The following is a 22,158-nucleotide window of genomic DNA, read 5'->3' as shown; positions in this document are numbered from 1 at the left end:
CACCATTCTAGGACTTGAGGCTCTCCGTAGATTAATGACCCTGGCTGGTCCGAAGGGCATGAAATTATGAATAATCTATTCCTGATGGAACAACGCTTTGCCTTCCACTCCCAGCCCTGTCCCTGGTTGTAGGAGGCTGCGGAGGGCCCCATTATTCACGCCACTCAGGTTCCTGCCTGCTCCACACTCACAGGGATGAATGCATTGCTCAGAAACACGGGAGGGAGTGTTACAACATTGATACTAGAGAGGCATTATTTTCATTGTCAGGCTGCTTGATGGTTTCATAATTTTCATAAAAGAACTGGGTTTTAGGCTCTAAGGAGCAATTAATAAAGGAGTCCACAGGCACACGGTGACACGGAAGTGCTCTCAGAAAAGGGGGCTGAGCTCCCAATGGGTGTGAGGGCTTGGACCTCCCTCGCCTGGTTCTCCCCAGACAGAGAGAGGACGGGGAGGTGCGCTCATCACTCAGCAGCGAGCCCTCTCCTCCTGCCTGCAGACTCAGACCCCCACTGCAGGTGCACAGTGAAATCATCGTACCCTCTAAATAGAAGGAAAAACAAACTAGAAGCATTTAAGCACGTGCCTGAGCCAGGACCCTCTCAAATGACGATGACAGAAAACCAACTCTGATTTAGATAAAAAGGGAAAGTCCGGTAGGGGTTGGGGAAAGTGAATTAGCTTCAAGAATTCCAAAGACCAGGAGGGCAGATGTCCCTTCAGGCAACGCTGTGTTCAGGGACTCAAACGAAGTCCTTGGGACTCCCTCTCCAGGCTCAGTGCTCCTGTCTTGCACACGGTCCCGCGGTCCCCAGCTGCAGCCCAGGGGTTCCTGCCGCGGGAGAGAAGGCTTCACTGTGCGGGGGCACCCCACGCCTCCACTCCGCTTTGTCTTCCTTCTAACCCTATACTCTACTTTGTTTGGTGCTCACCTCCCTTGGGCTAGAGCAGGGGATTTTGTTGGGTTCGTTGATTTATACCCAGAGCCTTGAACAGGGCCTGGCAGAAAAGGCTCTGAAATATTTGTAGAGTAGGTCAATGAGCCACCTGAAGGAAAACTGTTTTGTGTCTTCATCTTCTAGATGGGAAGGTGGAGATCAGAGAGAAGAAGTGAATTCTCTGAGCTCACTTGGCTGACAAGGGGCAGAGTTGCGGCTGGACCCCGAATCGTGTGACTTCAGACCCTCTGGTTATGAACAGCGCATGTAGACGTGTGGCACACCCGACCTCCAGGAGGCCCTGAATGGGAGAGGGATGGGGAGAGGGGAGGGGCGGGAGATAGTTCCACCAGTGGGCAGTTCTGGAGAGCGGGGATGGGAGGGGGGCTCTCTTGGTTCCCTTTCACAGCTGCACTGGAAGGCAACAGTTGGGGAAAGCTAGAGAGGGAACCTATTGAAGGAGCATCTAAAATCATTAGCAAAATCTTACTATTGGCTGGGTGAGGTGGCTCACACCTGTAATCCCAGCACTTTGGGAGGCTGAGGTGGGAGGATGGATTGAGCCAAGGTGTTTGAGACCAACCTGAGCAACACAGCAAGACCCCATCTTAAATATATTAAAAATAAATTTAAGATTAGGTGGGCATGGTGGCATGTGCCTGTAGTACCAGCTACTCAGGAGGCTGACGGTGAGGGGATCCTTGAGCCTAGGAGGTTGAGGCTGCAGTGAGCTGTGTTCACATCACTGCACTCTAGCCTGGGCAACAGAGTGAGACCCTGTCTCAAAAAGAGTCCTAATTCATTCATTAATTTTAAAAATCAAATTATTGAATCATTTCACTTTTTGCAAGTCCTGCCTGACCACTTACCTCAGGGAATTTATTCATTTTCCATTTATCTCACTAAGAGACAGTGGGCAGTTCACCTTGTCCCCAGCCCTAGCCCCTCTGCAGCCCACAGGGGGACACCGAGGGTTAGTGCTGGGCAGAAAGACAGCCCAGAGGTGGTTAAACCCCAAATCCATGCTGCCCTCCCCAGGACACTGATTTGTGAGCAGGGCTCGGGAGCCTAACGGCTGAGGCTGAGCCCCAGCCCCACCACTCACTGACTCCTTGTCCTCAGACAGGTCATGTCACCTTTCCAAGCCTCAGACTCCCCTCTGCAGGGTTGCTGTAAAATCCACAGGACAACGTGGACATTGTCAGCACAATGTCCGGTACAGTGGCCCATCCGCAGGCGGTCACCAAGGGTGCTGCTGTTGCGAGAGGACCCACAGTAGGTTTCATGATGAGGTGAGAGGGGAGGCGCACTGAGCACCCATCTGATGCCCAGGCCCCCACGAACCCCTGTTGCTGGGGGAGGGCTCCGGGGCTGCAGAGGTGGCAGGATGCACCCTCAGCGTCCAGCCCTCCCACGCTGCCGTGGTGTAGACACAGAGTAGGCGATGTTGTTATGTGACCATTGGACACACGTGAAAGTGGCTGCTATGAAGCCGTCAGTTAATTATGAAGTGATTGCAAACACCCCAAAAGGAATATCTGTGTGATTTATTCTAATGGCTTAGACATCCTCAGGTTCTCCTGATTAAATGCAGGCCTTAGGATGGCAGCTTCCAAGTCCAGGCTTCAGTGTAGAGCCAGGAAGAGGATCCTGGGGCTCATGGACCAACAGAGAGAGGGGGCAAGAATTTGGCCTTGAGGTCAGCTCTCACACAGCCCTCTAGGCCTCAGGGACGGAGCCATCTTTGAGGGTCTATTATTCCCTCTGTTTGGGCTGTTAAGCAGATGCCCAGGGTAACATTTGGGGTGGCCAGCCCAGCCCCCAGTACTGCCAGCAGAACAATCATGCACTGTCCCTGCCTGCTATGCGCCAGGCACCCCCAGGAACTCCATTCACCCCCAGGAAACCGCAGGCACTCCCAGAAACCCCCATGCACCCTCAGGAATCCCCAGGCACTTCCAGGAACCCCCAGGCACCTTTCCTCAGACACTTTCTGTTATGACTTTTCTAGAGCTTCTGTAATAGACAGAAATGTATCCTCTCACAGTTCTGGAGGCCAGAAGTCCAAACCATTCAAGCTGTCAGCCTGGCCATGCACTCTCTGCAGCCTCAGGAGGGGGGTGCTTCCTGGCCTCTCCCAGCTCCTGACAATCCAGGCAGTCCAACCCCGGCTGGCGGCCACATCACTCCCCTCTCCACTTGCGTCTTCACATGGCATGCTCCCTGCCACCCTGTGCCTTCCCAAGGCTGTCTCCTTGTAAAGATGCCAGTGAGCATGGACTGGGGGCCACCTTGCTCCAGGATGACTGCATCTCAACTCATCACATCTCAATCACCCTGTCTCCAAATGAGGTCACAGCTGAGATCCTGAGAGTTGGGACTTCAGCATGTCTTTCTGGGGGCGCACAGTTCAACCCATAACACACTCCTACAGGTGTTGTATTTGCCATAGCACAAACATCTCACACGCTTTGGAGCAAAACGGGAAGAGAAAATGCTCATGTGCATATCCACCGGTGCACAGGATGCACTAAGAAAACCGTTTCTACTAAGAGCTGCTCCTCCCTCTCCCCTCTCTGCCCTTGATTGTGCCCTCATCTGCAGCATGGAGGGATTGATCAGGGACAAGAGCTTCAAAATGCCCTTTGCAGCCAGGCATGATGGCTCACGCCTATAATCACAGCACTTTGGGAGGCGGAGACAGGTGGATCACCTGAGGTTAGGAGTTTGGGACCAGATTGGCCAAGATGATGAAACCTTGTCTCTACTAAAAATACAAAAATTAGCCGGACGTGATGGCGCATGCCTGTAATCCTAGCTACTCAGGAGACTGAGGCAGGAGAATCGCTTGAACCCAGGAGGCAGAGTTTGCAGTGTCACCCCAATGACAAGAGAATGTCTTCCCTTGGCAAACTTCAGCAGCCCCCAGTAGGCGGCAGGACTAAATGTGACCACAACAGGCCCCAGGGATGAGACCGGCATGGACATTGGTCTCTCCTGCCTTTGACTGGGCTTGACACCTCTTCCCTTTTCTTCCCCCAGATGGAGGCACTGCAAACGGAGCTGAGCTGCCTGGGATGAGAGGATGGCCTGGCTCTGGCCAGGAGCTCCCTAAGGCAAACACGTATGTCCCTGGGCCCTGGGTGTCCTCCTCAGAAAAGAAGAAGCCACCTCTAGGGATGGCAGTCCAAAGTGGCTCTCACCAAAATTATTTGGGTAGTGTGGTCTCTGGGCTGGCGATATCAGCATGACTGGGAATTTGTTAGAAAAGCAACTTCTCTGGAAATAGAGCCCAGAAATCTCTGGTTGCCAAGTTCTGCAGCTTACGGCATTCTTGCAGCATGACAAAGTGTGAGATACACTAATCTCTAAAATGAGATAATGATTAAAAGTTGCATCAAGGTAGCAAGCAGCCTCCCTCAGGCCACAGCGGCTGGGGGCCATTCCTTGCCCCTCCTGCATTAACCTGCCCCTCAGCTTCAGCCAATGAGCATCTACCCTCTCCATGTCCCCCTACCTCAAACAATTTCATGTTTTCCCATCTCTTCCCTTAGCCTGGCTCTCCTAGGGCCTGGAGCCTAACCCCCTCCATGGAGAAGGAGGATGGTCAGTGAGTACAGAAAGAATCCGTTGGATTCAGCACTGGGGGTGAATGTGTGTCCAGGGAGCCCTGCAGGAAGCATCCCGTGTCAGTGGGGCTGGTTCGCTACCGTGACCTGGGAATGCGCCTGACAGATCTCCAACGTCAGGGATCTGGACCAAGCTTCTGTGCTCTGAGCAGCGTTTACACCAAAGCTTCCCAGGAGCTGCTCCCAGCCCATGTCTGAGCCAGGCAGGGCTCCCAAGACAGGCAAGCCCTGGCAGACTGGGAGAAGGCACCACTCTGCTGGTTGATTTTGGCTGGAGGCTTCCCTTACAGCCTTGGTGGACGTTCCCTAGACTGTACCATGGTCTAGGTGGCTCCCACCCAAGCTTCCCTCCCACTTCCCTTCATTTAGGGTCAGGTTTGCACCTCCTTTTGATGATTCTCCAGGCTTTTCCCACTTTCCCTCCATTTTCTTCCAACCCTGTTTCCCTTAGGAAAATCCTTACATGCAGAATCCTATGTTGCCATCGTCTTCTCCAGGCACATGGAGTAACGCAACCTCAGATTAGAAAATGTCAGAAGAAAATTGGTGGGGGTGGGGGGAGAGAGAGAGAGAGTGAGAGAAGGAGAGAGAGAGAGAGAGGGAAAGAAAGGGAGAGAGAGAAGGAGAGACAGAGAGGAAAAGAGAGGGAGAGAGAGGAAGAGGAGGAGAAAGGGAGAAAGAGAGGGACAGAAAGAGAGAAGGAGAGGCGAGAAAGAGGGAAAGAGATGGGGAGAGAGAGAAAGAGGAGGAGAGCGAGGAGAGAGAAGAAGAGCAGGGGAGAGAGAGAGGGAGAGGGGGAGAGGAGAGACAGAGGGAGAGAAAGGGAAAGAGAGGGAGAGAGAGAGAAAAAGGGAGAGATAGGGGAGAGAGAGAAAGGAGGAGAGAGAGGGAGAGAGAGAGAAAGGAAGAGAGATGGAAAGAGAGAGAGAAGGAGAGAGAAAGAGGAAGAGAGAGAGAAAGTGGGAGAGAAAAAGAGAAGAGGAGAGAGAGAGGAAGAGGAGAGAGAGAGGAGAGAGAAGGACAGGGAGGAGGAGAGGAGAAACAGAGGGAGAGAGAAGGAAAGAGAGAGAAGGAGAGAGAAGGGAAGAGAGGGAGAAAGAGGGAGAGGGGGAGAGAGGGAGGGGGGAAGAAAGAAAAGGAGACAGAGAGGGAGAGAGAGAGGGAAAGAGAAGGAGAGAGGGGGAAGAGAGAAAGGGAGAGAGAGAGAGAGGGAGAGAAAGAGGGAGAGACAGAAGAGAGGAGGAAAGAGAGGGAGGGAGATAGAAAGTGAAAGAGAGAGGGAGAGAGACAGCAAGAGAGAGGAAGAGAGAAGGAGAGGGAGAGAGAGAAAGGGAGAGAAAGAGGGAGAGACAGAGAGAGAGGAGGAGAGAGAGAGGGAGATAAAGAGGAGGAGGCAGAAAAAGAGAGGAGGAGAGAGAGGGAGAGAGGGAGAGGGGAGAGACAGAGAGGGAGAGAGAGGGAGAAGGAGGGGAGAGAAAGAAAGAGAGAGAACAGAGAGAGAGGGAGAGGAGGAGAGAAAGAAGAAGAGAGAGAAGGAGAGAGAGAGGGAGAGAGGGGGGAGAGAGAGGGAGGGAGAGGGGGAGAGAGAAGGAGAGAGAGTGGAAGAGAGGGAGAGAGAGGGAGGGGGGAAGAGAGAAAAGGAGAGAGAGAGGGAGAGAAAGAGGGAGAGACAGAGAGAGAGGAGGAGAGGGAGAGAGAGATAAAGAGGAGGCAGAAAAAGAGAGGAGGAGAGGGAGAGAGGGAGAGAGGGAGAGGGGAGAGACAGAGAGGGAGAGAGAGAGAGAAGGAGGGGAGAGAAAGAAAGAGAGAGAAGAGAGAGAGGGAGAGGAGGAGAGAGAGAAGAGAGAGAGGGAGAGAGAGAGAAGGAAAGAGAGAGAGGGAGAGGGTGAGAGAGAGAGGGAGAGAGAGAGAAAGCTAGAGAGCAAGCCCGCAGGAGAGAACACAGTGGGCACAGCATTCAGACAAGCTGAGCTCAGGATGCAGATTCAGCCTGGAGATACAGAACTGGGGGCATCAGTGTATTTTAAACCTCAGGGAGGATTTGATCACCAGGGAGAATACCATAAGGTGGCAGCAAAGAGGCTGGGGTAGAAGTGGAACACTGGCCATCACCAAGTTTTATGGAGCAGCCACAAGAAAGAACCTCAGAGGCCCAGGAGGGAGTTGCAGAGAAACGGAGGAGCAGCACACAGCAGGGCCGGGGCTCTGGGGAGAGCGGGACTCCAGCGCGGTGCAGAGCTCCGGCCCAGCTACACTGGCAGCATCTTGGTGAGCAGAGCAGGGCGGCTCCTGCTGCGAGAGCGATGCTAGCAGATGCTGAGACAGAGGCTAGGGTGCAAAGAGGCTGCCCTGAGCAAGGAGGGAGATCTTCCGGAAGTTTGACTGAGGTGCCCGTGGAGTTGAGGGAATAAGCTTTCGAGGTGGGGGGCACCGAAGCCCACATAGGAGGCTTGCAAAGGAGTCAGGATGGGACAGGATTGGAGACTGTGAGGAGCCAGCCTGAGTGAGGAGGAGAACAGGCATCTCCTTAGGACAAAACCCAAGCAGAAGAGCTTTACAGGTGACACTGTTTGCAGGCGTCTTTGAGGGCCAGAGGCAGAAGTTGAAGAAGTTCCTGTCTGGGGCTTCTCCTTTATCCCATGCCCTCTGTGGATTGGGATGGAGAGGATCTGGAGTAGGAGGTGGAGTCGCTTTGGAGAGGGGAAAGCTCACCAGGTGAGCAAGTGGCCAAGGAGAGCGAGGGAGATTACAGGAGGACAGTGAGGTTCCTGGGCAGCTCCAGGACCGAGTGTGAGATCGCCCCGACATCTACCAGTGGGTCTGGCTGATGCAGGGCTAGAGTCTGGCTGGGCAGGCATGGCAGGAAGATGAGGATCTTCACAAGGGAGGGTTGACAAAGTAGGCCATGGCCTCTGGATGGTACGGGAAGGCTGTCAGTCCAGCGGGGGAGGGTGGGTGGCCCAGGGGGTGAGGCTGGAGACTGCAGTCTGTGAACGAAAGACGTGCGTGTTCATCCTCTGGGGTGTCTTAAGTGTCGGCCTGTTGGGGTGGTCATATACACGGTGGGCCTGGGTGTCACGCGGGCAGAGCAATCACACTTGGAAAGCCTGTCATAAGCTGCCTGGTGAGTCCCGCAGTGCTTGGGAGCCCTTTTCTCAGTACTGGCATCGGCCGTGAGTTTCTGATGGAAAGAGCCCGGCTTCCTGGAGAGCGGCACCAGAGCTTTTATGGACTGTTGCTTCAGGTGGAACGTGGAGTAATTATTTTCTTATGACTGTTTGTAGATATAATTGTGTCCTCACTACTCAGGAATTTATGTTCAGAAAATAATTACTATTGGATTAACTGCAATGGCAATCCTTTAATTCCACTCTCAACACTGTTTGTATTTAAGCCGAGCTTCCTCCTTGCCAATCTGATGTGTCTGTTACAATAAGCGTTTTAACTCAATTATCGTCTCAGACACAATCAAATTATCTGTAATATGATGTAATTACTTTTTTTTATTAGGCTAAACTGGGGATCCTGAGCTGCGAATGCCTAGCGTAGCTTTGAGAAGTGATTAAAACAAACCCGCAGGCCCTTCTACAATAAGAGTGTGTTTTTCAAAAGTCCAGTTTGAAACCCAGATCCTCCACTCAGGGCCTAAAAACGTATCCCTTGTGCCAAATTCACCTCCTGCAGGAAGACTTCCTTGCCCTTAAGTCACCCGGCTGTGCGTGGTTTGCTCTACCGCCTCCTGGCCCTTGGATGTGGGATTTGTTTCTCTGTACCTGACGCCGCTTGACTTCGTAGCTCCCTCCAGCCAATCCCATGTGGACCTCACTGGTAGACTGGACTGTGAGGCTTCCACCCGTAAAGGAATTCATGCTGGCAGAGCCCCTCCAGAGAAAGGCACTGTTAGGATTGAATTGTGATTGGGTAAAGTTGTAGGGGTGGAAAAACTCCACCTCTGTCCTCTTAGGGTCCCGGCTGGGCCTGAGAATTAAATGGACATAACATAGACTAACAGGAGAAAAGTGTAATGCAGGATTTATGTAGCATGGGAGCCCTCCTGCAGAAATGAAGACCTGCAGAAGCAGTGAGTTAGTTACTCAGAGATTGGACGGGACAAAGAGCAGAGCTGTGAAGAAGCAACTGAAGTCTGCGGGGAAGCTCAGAGAATGGAATGATGCTAATGAGGTACTCACAGTATGCTCTCAGTTTGGACTTTTCACTCCCAAAGATAAGGATGTTGCTTTCCCTTCTAGGGTGGAGAGGGCATCTTTCGCATTGGAATTTCATCTCAAGGTACAGCATGGAGGTCACTGTGATCTTTTTGCACCTGCTGTTTCTCAAGAGTCTTTAGCTGAAATTGTCAATATGCCAGAAGAGCCTGTTTTAATCCTTTCAAAGTCCTAATCCTCAGGACCTCAGAATGTGAACACATTTGGAAATAGGATCTTTACTGAGGTTAAGGGTTAAGTTGCAGAGATTAAGCTAAAACAAGGTCAGGAGGGAGGGCCCTAATCCAACATGACTGACGTCCTTATGAGAAAGGGGAATTTGGACACAACTGTGGACACAAGGAAGACAAGGAAAGACAGAGAGAGGAGGCGGCGACCTATAAGCTGGGGAGAAAGGCCTCAGAGAGACCTAGCCCTGCCAAGACCTTGATCTCAGACTTCCGCCATCGAGAACTGTGAGAAAATCCATTCCTGGCTGGGCGCGGTGGCTTATGCCTCTAATCCCAGCACTTTGGGAGGCCGAGGTGGAAGGATCGCTTGCACCCAGGAGTTCCAGACCAGCCTGCACAAAAAAGCAAGATATCATTTTTACAAATAATTGGAAAAAAAAAAAAGCCAGGTGTGCTGGCGCATCCCTGTAATCCCAATTACTTGGGAGGCTGAGGCAGAAGGACTGGTTGAGCCCAGGAGTTTGAGGCTGTCATGAGCTGGGATAACACAACTGCTCTCCCACCTGGGCAAAAAAGTGAGACCCTTACTCAAATAAATAAATAAATAATTCCTGTTACACAGACCTAGGAAACAAATACAGGCACTTAACTCTAATGGTTAAAAACACAGCACTGGAATCAGAGTGCCTGAGTGTTAATCCCGGTGCAATTACTTATTAGCACCATGCAATTTAGTCATATGCCTTAGTTTTCTCATCCTGAGAGTAGGACTAATAATCACATCCACCTTGGAGGGTTGATGTTTGTATGAAGAGCTTAACATTGTGGCTGGAATATAGTAAACATTAGACATGCATTAATTTTTACTCTGCATCAGATGTTGTGCTGAGTACCTTACTGAGTAAATCATCACCATGGTCCTATGAAGTCAGGGCTTTTATTTTTCTATGAGGAAACTGAGTTAGAGAGAAGTTAAAGAAGAGGTGGAATGCGGACCTTGACCCCAAGTCTATGCTTACAAATAGTGGATTGCCTCATGCCAGCCTAGGGGGGCACAAGGTATGATTATGGGATGACTGTTGTCTTTTTAAATAAAAATATCCCCCTTTTTGTAGTTTGACATTTTAATTTCATTTCAGTTCACATACACATGAATTCAATCTCATACAAAATTTAAACATAGATAAAGAATTCCAATACAGATCAAGACAAATGTCCGCCTTCAGGAAGAGGCTGGCAAAAACACATACAATTTGCTCTCAATCAAGTGTACAGTGTTCAATGAGTAGAGAGTTTCAGTTTTCCAAGATGAAAAAGTTCCAGAGACCCGCCTGGCGTTCACCACTGATGTGTTTAAAAGCTTCCTACTGTCTCGATAAGAAAGCTCCTAAGACTGTTGTTCTGTGACAGTGGGTTTCCTGGGCTGAGATCCAGGGCGGGGCAAATGCAGCAGTTCCCACCTTCTCTTAAAGGCTGCAATGCCCTGATGGAGAGTTCTGGTTGCCCCAAGGCCTTTTGCCAGCCGCTGGCCCACAGCTCTGTCCGCCTTTGTGTAATAGGCAGGGCTGGGTGTGGACATCTGGGTCTGAAGCCGAGCCCTGGCACTGCACACATGTGGCCTGGGCAGAGCCCACTCTGTGCTGTGTTGCCCACTAATGGTTTTTTGATTTTAGCCTGACCACCAGTGTTTACACCATGCATCCTTTTGTCTTTTTTATTTGTTTCAAGAAAATAAAATATCTCTCAAGCAGACCGCCACCCACTGTGGCAGGGATGCTGCTCTCTGTTCCCACACACTCCGCTTGGAGGGGGGCACACAGTAGACGCCCCAGAAGGATGTGCCAGTGAGTTTATTCCTCCTGCACTATCCAATATGGCCAGGTGTGGTGGTTCAAAGTTAAATGCAAATTATTTAAAATTAATGGCCAGGAGCCAGACCCAGGCCGCCTCACTCACCTTGTGACCACTGAATCTCTGCTGGTTCTGCCACTGAAGGGAGACGCTTCAGGGCACCAGGAGTGTTCTGGGTTTGATGGAATGGTTTGAGACGTTGGTGGTGGCAGTGGTTCCAAGGATGCTGGCATCTGTCAAGATCATTGTGCTGTACGCTTCTAGGTGATTATATGGAGATCATGCTTCAGAAAGCTGATTTAAAAAGTGGAATGTCCCTCCCTGCCAAAAAATAAAGAAAATCTTTTATTTGCAGTCCCAAACTGACCTGGAGCAAACTATTGTCAGAAGAATGAAATCAACTGATTCCTAAGTAGGTAGCACCACTCACAGCACTTAGGAAACCCCAGAAAGGGAAAGGAAGGATTTCCTAGTCCCTGAGGAGTTAAAGAGAGGGAAGCAGAGCGCCAGCCTTGGGCATCCAGACCACGGGCCAGCGCCTCCCACTCCAGACCCCTGCCAAGTCCTTCCCTACCACACACGGTGCTGGGCGCAGCAGGAGCCTCGCAGGGACTGAGATGGGGCTCGTGGATAGGTGTGTATCGAGGGGTGTGTGAGTGTCTATGTGTGTGTGCTAGGTGTATGTGTAAGTTAGATGGGTGTGTATGTGCAGGTATATGTGTATATATGTGTGCCAATAGTGTGCATGTGAATTAGGCAGGTGTATGTGTGAGGGCGCACGTGTATATGTGTGTTAGGTGTGTGTGAGTTAGGTGGGCGTGTGTATGTGTATATATTTGTGTTAGGTGTGTGTTAGGTGGGTATATGTGTGAATGTGCATGTGTCTATGTGTGCTAGGTGCATATGTGAGTTAGGCGGGTGTATGTGTGCAGGTACATGTGTACATATGTGTGTTAGGGGTGTGTGTGTAAGGAGAGGGTAACAGAGAATAATGTTCCTTGGGAATCCGAGGCACATTCCACAGGGAAGCCCCACTGGCCTTCAAGTTATGTAAATCCATCAACCAGAAAATCACTGATGTTTTCGGGAAGACACATCACTAATTACCATAATGCCCACATTTGTGAGGCATTTAGCACCTGTGCTAAGTACTGGGTAAACTGCAAAGGTATTAATCCACACGGCAGCCCTGCCAGGCAGATGTCAGTATCTCGTTTTGTGACTTGGAACATGGGTTTCTCGAAGAGAGTCCTTCAGCTGGAGCCTGCACGTCCAGGCAGTAGTAGGGCCGGATGTTCGATGCTGGGCTCCTGACCCTCAGCTGCTTCTCAGCCCCAGCCCAGGAGCTTAGATTCTGACTTTGTTCAGTGGCTGCAGGGACCGAGGGCTCCTTCCTTCCAAAGCCCTTCCTCCTCGCCTGTCAGAATCCTCCATGGCCCTCAACATTTGGCGTGCGGAAAAATCAGCTGGGACCTTCTTAAACAGCAATTCCCACCCCATCCTAAGCCACTCTGACTTGCAGGGATGGGCTCAGGGCCGGGAATCAGCATTTTAGCATGAGGCTTTCCCGACACTCCTGTGCTGGTCTTGGGAGAACATCACCCTGGGGATTCCACTGCACCTGGTGCCAGCCTGGCTTTTATCCAAAGGATGCACGGGGATGCCCCTGGCTGCTGTTTACAGAATAGACTCAGCCACAATGGAGGAAGCAGAAAGACCTCTCCGGAGGCCACTGCAGCCATCCAGTTGAGACAGGACAGAGATACATTGAAGCAATGGAAGTGGTTGGATTGGACAGAAACTTCGCCAGTGATGCTGACATGTTGTGAATGACGTAGAAAGAGAAAGAGACTGAAGCCACTGCTGACTTCAGGTTTCTCCTGGCCATTAGGTGGAGACGGTGATACTGATGGGGTACCATGCACCTGGATAGAGTGGTTTAGGGGAGGGGAGAACACAGTGGTTGGTTTGTGGTGTGTTTCAAGAGAGTGTGTGAGGAAGACAAGGGGAGGCTGACTTTAGGGGAGATGGGGGCTTCACTGGGAAGGGGTGAAAAATATTTGAGAAGTTGGGTGGCAAATTTGTAGAGGAGACTGGGCCAAGAAGAAATAGCAAACAGCCCAAGGAGGGAAGGGATCAGAGGAGATGATGTAAAAGGTAGGTGCAGATTTAAAGTATTGCTGGGCGGTGAAAAGAGCAGAGGTCAGGAGTCTTGGGTGGAGTCCTGCCCCTCCTGCACCAGGCCCCTTGGCTGCTCCAAGCTCAGGGTTTCTCCAACTGTAAAAGCGAAGTAACACCTGTGCTGTGGCTCCAGCAGGGCTGTGGTGGGAATCAACATCATATAGCATTCAAAACACCCTGGAGGGTGTGTTGCTATGAGCAGAGCTTTCCCAGCACCCTTTGGGGTTTCTGCTATTGACCCCAGGGGTTACCCTGGGTGCAGGGCCCCGAACTCTTTTGGCAGAATGAACTCTTTTAGCCCCTGCGAGGCAATGACAGCCCTGTGGGAAGTGAGTGTGCTTCAAGATGATGTGCTGCTTTCAAAATCCAGCTCAAAGCCAGGTGCCAGGGCTCACACCTGTAATCCCAGCACTCTGGGAGGCCAAGGTGGGAGAATCGCTTAAGCCTAGGAGTTGAAGATCAGCCTGGGCAACATAGAGAGACCTTGCCTGTAGAAAAATTAAAACAAATTGGGCATGTTGGTGAGTGCCCGTATTCTCAGCTTTTCAGGAGGCTGAGGCAGGAGGATGGCTTGAGCTCAGGAGATTGAGGCTGTAGTGAGCCACCATCGAACCACTGCACTCCAGCCTGGGCAACAAAGTGAGACCCTGTTTCTATAATTTTTTTTTTTTAATTAGCTGAGTACAGTGGCGCACACCTGTGATCCCAGCTGCAAGGGAGACTGAGGTGGGAGGATCGCTTGAACCCAGGAGGTAGAGGCTGCATTGAGCCATGATCACACCACTGCACTCCAGCCTGGGCGACAGAGTGAGACCTTGTTCATAAAAAAACAAATAAAAATAAAAATAAAATGTCCAGCTCTGCGTCTGGGTGACCTTGGGCCACTTCTCGCCTCTTCGGAGCCTCCCAGTCATCTTCTGTAGACTGAGAAAATCCATACCAACCTGGTCCTCATGACACATCTCTTGGGTGCAGGAAATAGAAATCTACTTGGGCTCACTCCAGTAAACAAAGATTTATTTAAAAGAATGGACGTGCCTCACAGAGCCCATTAGAGTGGAAGTGCCCTGGACAGGGAGTACTGCACACTGGGCCCTGGAACAAGGCCACAAGGCCTGGCCCCCAGCAGCACCCAGTACAATAGAACATCCATGGAGTCAGTGCAGCTACGGGAAGGTGGGTTCTCAGGAAGGCTGGGAGCTGAGGGCTGGAATCTGTCTGGAGCTTTGGTGATCAACAGCTCCATCCCGCACCCTCCTCTATTCCTTATCCTCTCTGTACATTTGCTGGTTCATTTTCCTCTCTCTGTAGGTAGGAAACCTGGAGCTCCCATCTGCAAGTACCAGCCCAGGCTTGGGTGGCTGGGGCCTGCCTCTCAATGGCCTCTATGTATTTCTGAGCCCAGTTCCCCATCCCCCAGAAAGAGAATGTAAGTGGCCCAGGCTGAATGAGCGTCCACTTGGTTACAACTAGAGGAGAGCTCCCTGGCATTGACAGCGGCTCCTCAGGCTGGAAGAGGGGCATCCTCTCTAGAAAATGAGCTGCGGGAAGGTGCTACATCCCTGTTATGTAAATTTGACCAACGGGCCATTTTACAAAGCCACCTAGAGCTGTGTGTGGCACATAGTAGGTGCTCAGGGAATAGGAGCTATTGTTCTGTGTGGCCAGGAGTCTCAGGACCTCAGCAGGTGGGATCTTCAGCTCATTTCTCATCTCTGCATACCTGACTGGTGACTCTGTGTGTGTGTGTGTGTGTGTGTGTGTGTGTGTGTGTCTGTGTGCGTGTGTGTGTGTGTCTGGTGTGTGGGGGGCGGGAAGGGAGGAGAGCTGTCACTCCCAGGGTCTTGAGACCACAAATTCAGCAAAGTCCCCTCAGCTGGCAGCCTGATAAAACATGTGTTAGTTCCCACATTTTGGAGTCCAGTTCCAGCCCAGATCTGATTTAAGAAGCTTTTGAGTAGGTACTGTGGCTCATGCCCATAATCTCAGCACGGTGAGTGGCCAGGGCGGGAGGAGGATAGCTTGAGGCCAGAAGTTCCAGACCAGCCTGGGCAACATGGCAAGGCCCCATCTCAACAAAAAATAAAATAAAATAATTAGCTGGGTATGGTGGCACAAACCTATAGTTCTAGCTGCTGTGGAGGCTGAGGTGGAAGGATTACTTGAGCCCAGGAGTTAGAGGCTACTGTGAGCTATGTTCATGCTCAAGTGAGCTTTCACTTTCTCTGTGGAGGCAAGTTAAAAAAAAAAAAAAAAGCAGCAGCTTTCACAGTTACAAGCAGAACCAGGGACATGATATAGCACTTCACTGCAGCCACATCTCATGGACTTCCCTCCCTTCTTAATACTACAAATTCCAAATACTTTACTCATGGACAGAACATCCTTGATTAAGTTGGCTGATCATCATATAACGTATTCTGGGTCTCTATGTAATTTATTCACATGATCATTCAACATTCTACAGTTAAATCCTTCCCCCAGCACCACGAATGAGAGTCTTTCATTGCAGATGAGTGAGGACCAGGCTGTCCTGAGCTGACATTCTTGCTACCGCCTGGAGCATATGTTATACATGAGAATTAATAAGTATGAAGTTCAGAACATATCTAGGTATTGCATCATATGGTGTTTTTCATTTTTTGTTTGTTTGTTTGTTTGTTTGTTTGTTTTTGATAGAGTTTCACTCTTGTTGCCCAGGCTGGAGTGTAACGGCCCAATCTCGGCTCGCCACAACCTCTGCCTCCTGGGTTCAAGCGATTCGCCTGCCTCAGCCTCCCAAGTAGCTGGGATTACAGGCATGCAGCACCATGCCCGGCTAATTTTTGTATTTTTAGTAAAGACAGGGTTTCTCCATGTTGGTCTGGCTAGTCTCGAACTCCCGACCTCAGGTGATCCACCCTCCTTGGCCTCCCAAAGTGCTGGGATTACAGGCGTGAGCCACCACGCCTGGCAGCATCATATGTATTTTATGAGAATTCTACCTTGAGTGTTGAGAAAGAGACTGAAAGAGAGAGAATTCTCGTTCAAGCCATCAGAGTCATGGAGGCATTTCTATCAATAACTCTCTGTAAACTGAAAATAAAATCCTAAGCCCCTACCAGCTGAGTACCTCTTCTTGGCCTAGGGGACCCCAGAAAAATCTTAGAAAATGAGTGTCTGACCATGACAGGAAGGGAGGCCAGACACGCCTCGTTACACTCCCTCCCTTTTGGAGTTTAGACAAAACCACTGCTTGGCATTCATGCTAAAATAGAGATCAGAAGACTGACAGAGCAGACCCTTTGCGACAATAGGATACCAATTATAAACAGGACCTAAGGCCGTGCCAGACAAGGGGTAAGTCATGCACCCCTACAGGTCACTCTGACCCAGTAGTTTGGTTAACAAACTTCCTTAACTTAAAACATTCTTTTCTGCTAACTCCAAATTTTTAGACAAAGCTCTACTCCTTTAATCAGTTGCAAATTAAAGAATCTCTAGGTCCACTGATGATCTATAAGTCCCTGCTTCAAGATATTCCACCTTTTGGGGCTGATCCAAAATACACCTTCCATGTATTAATTCATGTCTTCACTCGCAACTCCTGCCTGCCTGAAATGTACAAAACTAAGCCGTAATCCAACTGTCCCGGACGCACTCTCTCAGGGCCTCTTAAGACTGCATTTCCGGGGCCATGGTCACTCATACTGGCTCAGAATAAACCTCTGAAAAATACCTTACGGAGTTTGATTTTTCCATCAATAGCTCCATCAGTTAGCCAGGAGATGAGGAAGTTGCCTTGCTGATCTCTCTTCCAGTCCTGAGTCCCATGCATCTTCCATGGCCTGGGGATCTCTAGATTTGGGGGTCCTGAGGCTGCGGGGATGGGCCGGCGGGCCTGGCTGATGGGGCGGTGGCAGGTGGGGCTCCTCCGCAGCATGCTGAAATCTGTGGCACCTGTGACCCTGCTAAACATTTCCCTTTTCTGCTTCTTGAATTTTTAAATTTTTTATTCATTTTATATTTTAGAGACAGAATTTCATTCTGTTGCCCAGGCTGGAGTGCAGTAGTGTCATCGTGACTCACTGCAATCTCTGAACTCCTGGGCTCAAGCGATCCTCCTGCCTCAGCCTCCCGAGTAGCTAGGCCCACAGGCACTAGAGATGGGGTCTTGCTATGTTGCTCAGGCTGGTCTTGAACTGCTGGGCTCAAGTGATTCTCCCATCTTGGCTTCCCAAAATGCTGGGATTACAGATGTAAGCCACTGCACCTGGCCACATTTTCTGACTTTCGCAGGCAAGAGCGGGAGAGCTGAGTGCAAACCTCAGCATTACAGACATCTGCAAGAACTTTCCAGCAGGCTGCTGGCTTCCTACGGCTAAGTCCCTTTTCCCTGCGGTAGTGGTGGTCTCTGATCCACAGAATGTCAGCTGTTCAAGTGGGAAAGCCTGGGCCCAGAACTGAGAAAAGGCCTTTTCCAAGTCCCAGAGTGAGCTGCTAAGTGAGATGGAACAAAACCTTCACCTCTGGCTTCTTCTCAGCCAAGCCCACATTCATTTTCCCTGTTTGACATTTTTGACTGGAGGTTCCAACTAAAAATAGTGACCCAGTTACACACAAGGACTAGGAAACTCACCCTCCGGCCCTGGTGGCTGCATCATCTCGACTTCACTCTGCGGGGCATCCTCCACAGACCCATCCCTCTCCAGCTGCCTCTGCAGTGTCAGGATGATTGAACACAAAAGGAGACAGTGCTGAGACATGCCAGGCTTTACCACAGCATTCAAAAGGATTCAGCATTCAACCTCCAGCCTGGCCATTCAATGCCAGATTATCAGCAGCTCTGAAGAAGGAGCTCAAGAGGCTTCATCAGGAGTGCACAGCATGGCCTGAGCTGGTCATGAGAGTGAAGGTCCCACCATGTGGGCTGGGTGATGGGGGAGCACAGAGAAAGGGGGTGGGGATGGGGTCACGTTGAACTAGGCTGGGCAGCAGCCTGTTTAGTAAAAGTCAGTGGGCACACAGAGCTAATGCCTGATCTTTTCATTCAAGACCACAAGGTCCCATCAGGGGTTCGGGCGCCCAGTGTGTTAGGAATTCTCCTTAAAGGTGGCCCCAGCCCTCCCAGCCTGTCTTCCCCGAGCATACCTGAGCAACATCTTCATTGCATTTTAGTCCTGAGATGGGGAAGGGACCCTCTCTTAGGGGCCTAATGAGCCTTCCCAAGCATGAAAATAAAGAAAACTCCTGCGTTCCTCGAAGGGAAATTCCAGGCACCTAGGTAGGCCTGAAAAGTAAGTAAGCAAGAAAGCAATCGTCACCTAAAGCCAAGGAAATAAGTCCAGAGATTTTTGGTTTCTCTACAGAAATGAAAGATAACATCTCAACATATGTCCCTGAGTTCTTTCACACACCCAGACCCCACTGCAGACCCCGGTGGGATTCGCTGACAGGTAGACCTCGGATAAGGGGGAATTGCAGGCAGAACTCTGACCACACTGTTCTTTGTTTTAAGTTTATTCCTGAGAGGCTTGGTGGGAGTCACCCTGTCCCCTAGCCAGTTAACATGTTTTTCTGCTGACCCCCAATTTTTAAACAAAGCTTCTCTTCCTTAACTAATTGCAAATCAGAAAATCTTTGAATCTACCTATGACCTGTAAGCTCCTCCCCTTTAAAGATGCCCCCACCCTTTTAGGCCAAAATCAGTGTGTACCCTCCATATATTGATTTCTGATTTTGCCTGTGGCTTCTGCTCTTCTGAAGTTTACCCCTATATATATATATATATATATATATATTTATTTATTTATTTATTTATTTATTTATTTATTTATTTTCAGTCTTGCTCTGTCTCTCAGGCTGCAGGGCAGTGGTGTGACCTCGGCTCACTGCAACCTTTGCCTCCCAGATTCAAGCAATTCTCCCACTTCAGCCTCCCAAGTAGCTGGGACTACAGGCGTGTGCCACCACACCTGGCTAATTTTTGTATTTTTAGTAGAGACAAGGTTTCACCATGTTGGCCAGGCTGGCTTGAACTCCCAACCTCCAGTGATCTGCCTGCCTCAGCCTCCCAAATTGCTGGGATTACAGATGTGAGCCACTGCACCCAGCCTACCCCTACCTTTAAACACCTTCACCCTCAAGCCATGTGGGAGGTCAGGAGCTGAGCAGTAGCTTCCAGATCCTCCTTGCTTGGTGCCCTGCAAATAAACACTTTCCTTTTTATTGCTGTGAAAACTCGGTGTGGCTGTCGGGTTTTACTCACCTAGCGAGTGGACCCCAGTTCGGTTCTGTAACAGTGCCTCTCAGCGCTCAGGGCTTCCTGAGGATAACGGCTGCAAAGCTGCTGTCTCCCTCCCCAGGGCTAGCTCAGGGTCTCGTGTCTGAACCACATGCTTTGTTCTGTCTGTCACAGTTGTTTTTCTATATTAGAGGAGAGGCTGCTTCCCACCTTCCTACTTACATTTGTGGGTGTCCTCCCGAGACCATCCCACACTTTGCTTAAGGCATGGGGCTGGGCAGGAGAAAGGCGAACCGTGAACTTCTAAAAGATCCATCTGCCCCCACAATTTGGAGCTTGGGGGATTCTCTGACTCCATTCCTTTGGGTGAGGGGAACACGTGTTTAGTCAACACTGTCCTTGTTTAGCCAACATTTGCTTTCAGAAAAGTACATTTCCCATGGAGACTTTTATTCCTAAGCTTGGTTGTCCCGAAAAATCTTTTCTCCTTTTTCACCCGTTAAGCAGAAACAAAAATGCATTTCTGCAGGGAATAAATCATTTGCCTGGAGGCCGAAACTCTAGAGGAAATCTGTCCAAATGTTCATTTGCATATTCGAGCTTTTAGCATTCTCCTCGTGTCTCCGAACTGGAAACTTGGGAGAAGTACCGACTCAGTGTTCCAGCACAGCGTTTTATGAAACCCAAACCAAGCTGATCAGTGAATCAGTCACCCAGAACTGTTTCCTCCCGGGAATGAGCTCTGGGAGCTAACCTTGAACCAGGAAGACAAGATGAGGAAGGAGGGAAGGAATCACTGGATTAGAGCCGCCTCTGTCACCCGGTGGCTGATAAATTTTTTATTTCTCTGAGGCTTGTCTTTCTTATCTGTAAAATGGGCACACTTTGTTTTCTTCCATCCAAGTATTGATCAATCCAGAGCCTGTTTAGCTTCTGAGATCAGATGACACCAGGCACGTCCATGGTAATATGGCCATAGACACCTTGTTTTCTGAATTGAAAACAGTTTTTTTGTCAGGGGCAGGGGAGTCACATTTTAACCTTTCTGAAGCTGCTGCCGCTTTTTCAGTGGACCAGCCGTCCTCTTAACAGGCTCCTCCTGCAAGCCGCTTGTGTTGAAATAGCAGGGCCTTCCTTTGGCAGAGGAGGGCAGGGAGGGGGAGCTGGTGGCTGCCTCCAGCTCTCTCTCTCTCACAGTGAGGATGCCACACTTCCCCAAGACTGCTGCCCTAGAGTCCCAGGAGTTGGTCGCATTCTCTCCCTTGCTCATGGGTCCTGGCGTGGATGCATCTCCAGACACCCGGATATTTCCAGGGCTGGGTGATGTCCTCCATGCTGGCGTTAGATTCCAAGATAAGATTCCAAGGTAGATTCCTCCCACATCTACTCCTAACTCCCTGCACTCCAGGTGCATTATGGGATGTTTGTAAAGAGCAGTTCTGGAGGCCCTGGACTCTGGTTCCATTCCAGGACCGGTCACCCATGTCTTTGAAGTGGAATTCCCCCACCCCTCTCCCCGCCTCCCTCACCCCTCTCCCCACCTCCCCCACCCCTCTCCCCGCCTCCCCGACCATGCACCAAAGATGGCTGGGGCACCACAAGGATGTATTTAGGAGTGAAATGACACGATGTTGGGAATTTGCCTTAAAAATGTATGTGTATGGGGCAGCTGAGAGAAGAATGACAGAAACACGTAATTGTTAAAAATGAGGATTCATTATATTATTTTCTCTACTTTGGGGAGTGTTTGAAAATTTCCGTAATTGAAAGTAAAAAATAAAATGAAAACTTATGAACAGAGAATTGAATGGAGGATGTGTGTACCCCACTGGCATTGATAAACAGCTCTTGCTTAGAGCAGGGTGGTCCAGGATATCATTTTTCCAGGCTTCCGAATCCAATTTACTCATTAACCTAATTGTGGACTCATTGCAGGGTGCAGAAAACCAGGGGAAGAGCTGGGCCCGGGGAAGCATTTTGCAGGAGACAACTTAGCCTTCTGTGTGTCACCCTCTCAGCTCGGGGTTCCCCTGCCCCTTGGGGTGTCCCAGGACAGAGACATAGAAGGCAGCTTATGGGGGGAGGTCACCTCCTCCATGCCCACCTTCTGCTCTTTCAGAGCTCCAGCCCCTGAAGAGGGCGAGGATGTGATGATGAGGATGCTGATGGCTCCCCTAGTCTGAGCACCTACTGTGTGCAAGCCCCCAGGCATTTCAACTACACAGCAGCCCTGTGAGGTGGCCCCTGTCACCGAGGCTTACAGGGGTAGAGTTTGAGGCCTAGAGGGACTGAGAAGTGGCACTTGGCAGTATTGAAACCCAGTTCTCTCCGGTGGCTGTAGGCTGAGCTAGGGTGAGAATGGTCTTGGCAGCCACAGCTCTGAGCCTGCCTCAGGAGGGAGGGAAAGAACATGAGGACTCTCCAGTCCCTGGGGTTCCCCTGGCACCATGGCTCTGCCCCCGAGAGAGCACAAAGTACCTTACAAGTCTCCCTGAGGCTACAGGTGAAGGCTGCTAGTGAAGGCCCCAGCTGTGGCTCCCTCAACCAACTAGTCCCAGGGATACCTGCATCTTCCGTGTGTACCTCCCTGGGGGCTAGTGTTCAGAAAACCCTCTGAGAAGAGACTCAGATGGTTTGAACGTGCGCCAAGAACACCCTGGCTGTGTGGGCCATGTCTGACTGCCTCGAGCGAGACTGATAAGCTCTGACATTACAGGGAATTACATCTGACCTGACACCCATTAGGAAATAGTCATAAAAATCTCAACACCGTCAACAGTCCTCACTATGTCCTGATCACCCGCCAAGGCTGACGGCTGTTATTCAGCAGTTACAGGGCGCTTTATATTTGCAAAACTCAGACAGGAAAGGTTATTGTGCATTCTCCTCTGTCTTATTAGGCAGTCAGGAGCTGCCCTGGGAGAGAGGTCAGCCAGG

At 50.4% G+C, this 22,158-nt stretch overlaps 1 long non-coding RNA gene and 1 pseudogene across 1 annotated transcript, besides 1 other annotated feature; both read right to left on the bottom strand.

Annotated features, from left to right (window-relative positions):
- Positions 2,250-2,751: an enhancer, noted in NCBI's record as "H3K4me1 hESC enhancer chr19:29510025-29510526 (GRCh37/hg19 assembly coordinates)". NCBI's record gives its function as "activates a minimal SCP1, AML or CMV promoter by ChIP-STARR-seq in naive H9 embryonic stem cells {active_cell/tissue: H9 hESC(naive)}" and the evidence as "EXISTENCE:reporter gene assay evidence [ECO:0000049][PMID:30033119]".
- LINC01532 (long intergenic non-protein coding RNA 1532) lies at positions 7,914-19,314 on the bottom strand. Its single transcript, NR_040036.1, has 5 exons — positions 19,246-19,314; positions 18,129-18,267; positions 17,617-17,695; positions 10,923-11,138; positions 7,914-9,358 (listed from the first exon to the last, which is right to left on the bottom strand). It is a non-coding gene; the product is annotated as a long intergenic non-protein coding RNA 1532 (long non-coding RNA).
- On the bottom strand, positions 20,094-20,199 carry RNA5SP470 (RNA, 5S ribosomal pseudogene 470; annotated as a pseudogene).

This window comes from Homo sapiens, chromosome 19, assembly GCF_000001405.40.
Source record: "Homo sapiens chromosome 19, GRCh38.p14 Primary Assembly".
In the NCBI taxonomy this organism is placed as follows: Eukaryota; Metazoa; Chordata; class Mammalia; order Primates; family Hominidae; genus Homo; species Homo sapiens.
This window is presented reverse-complemented; position numbering and strand designations above follow the sequence as displayed.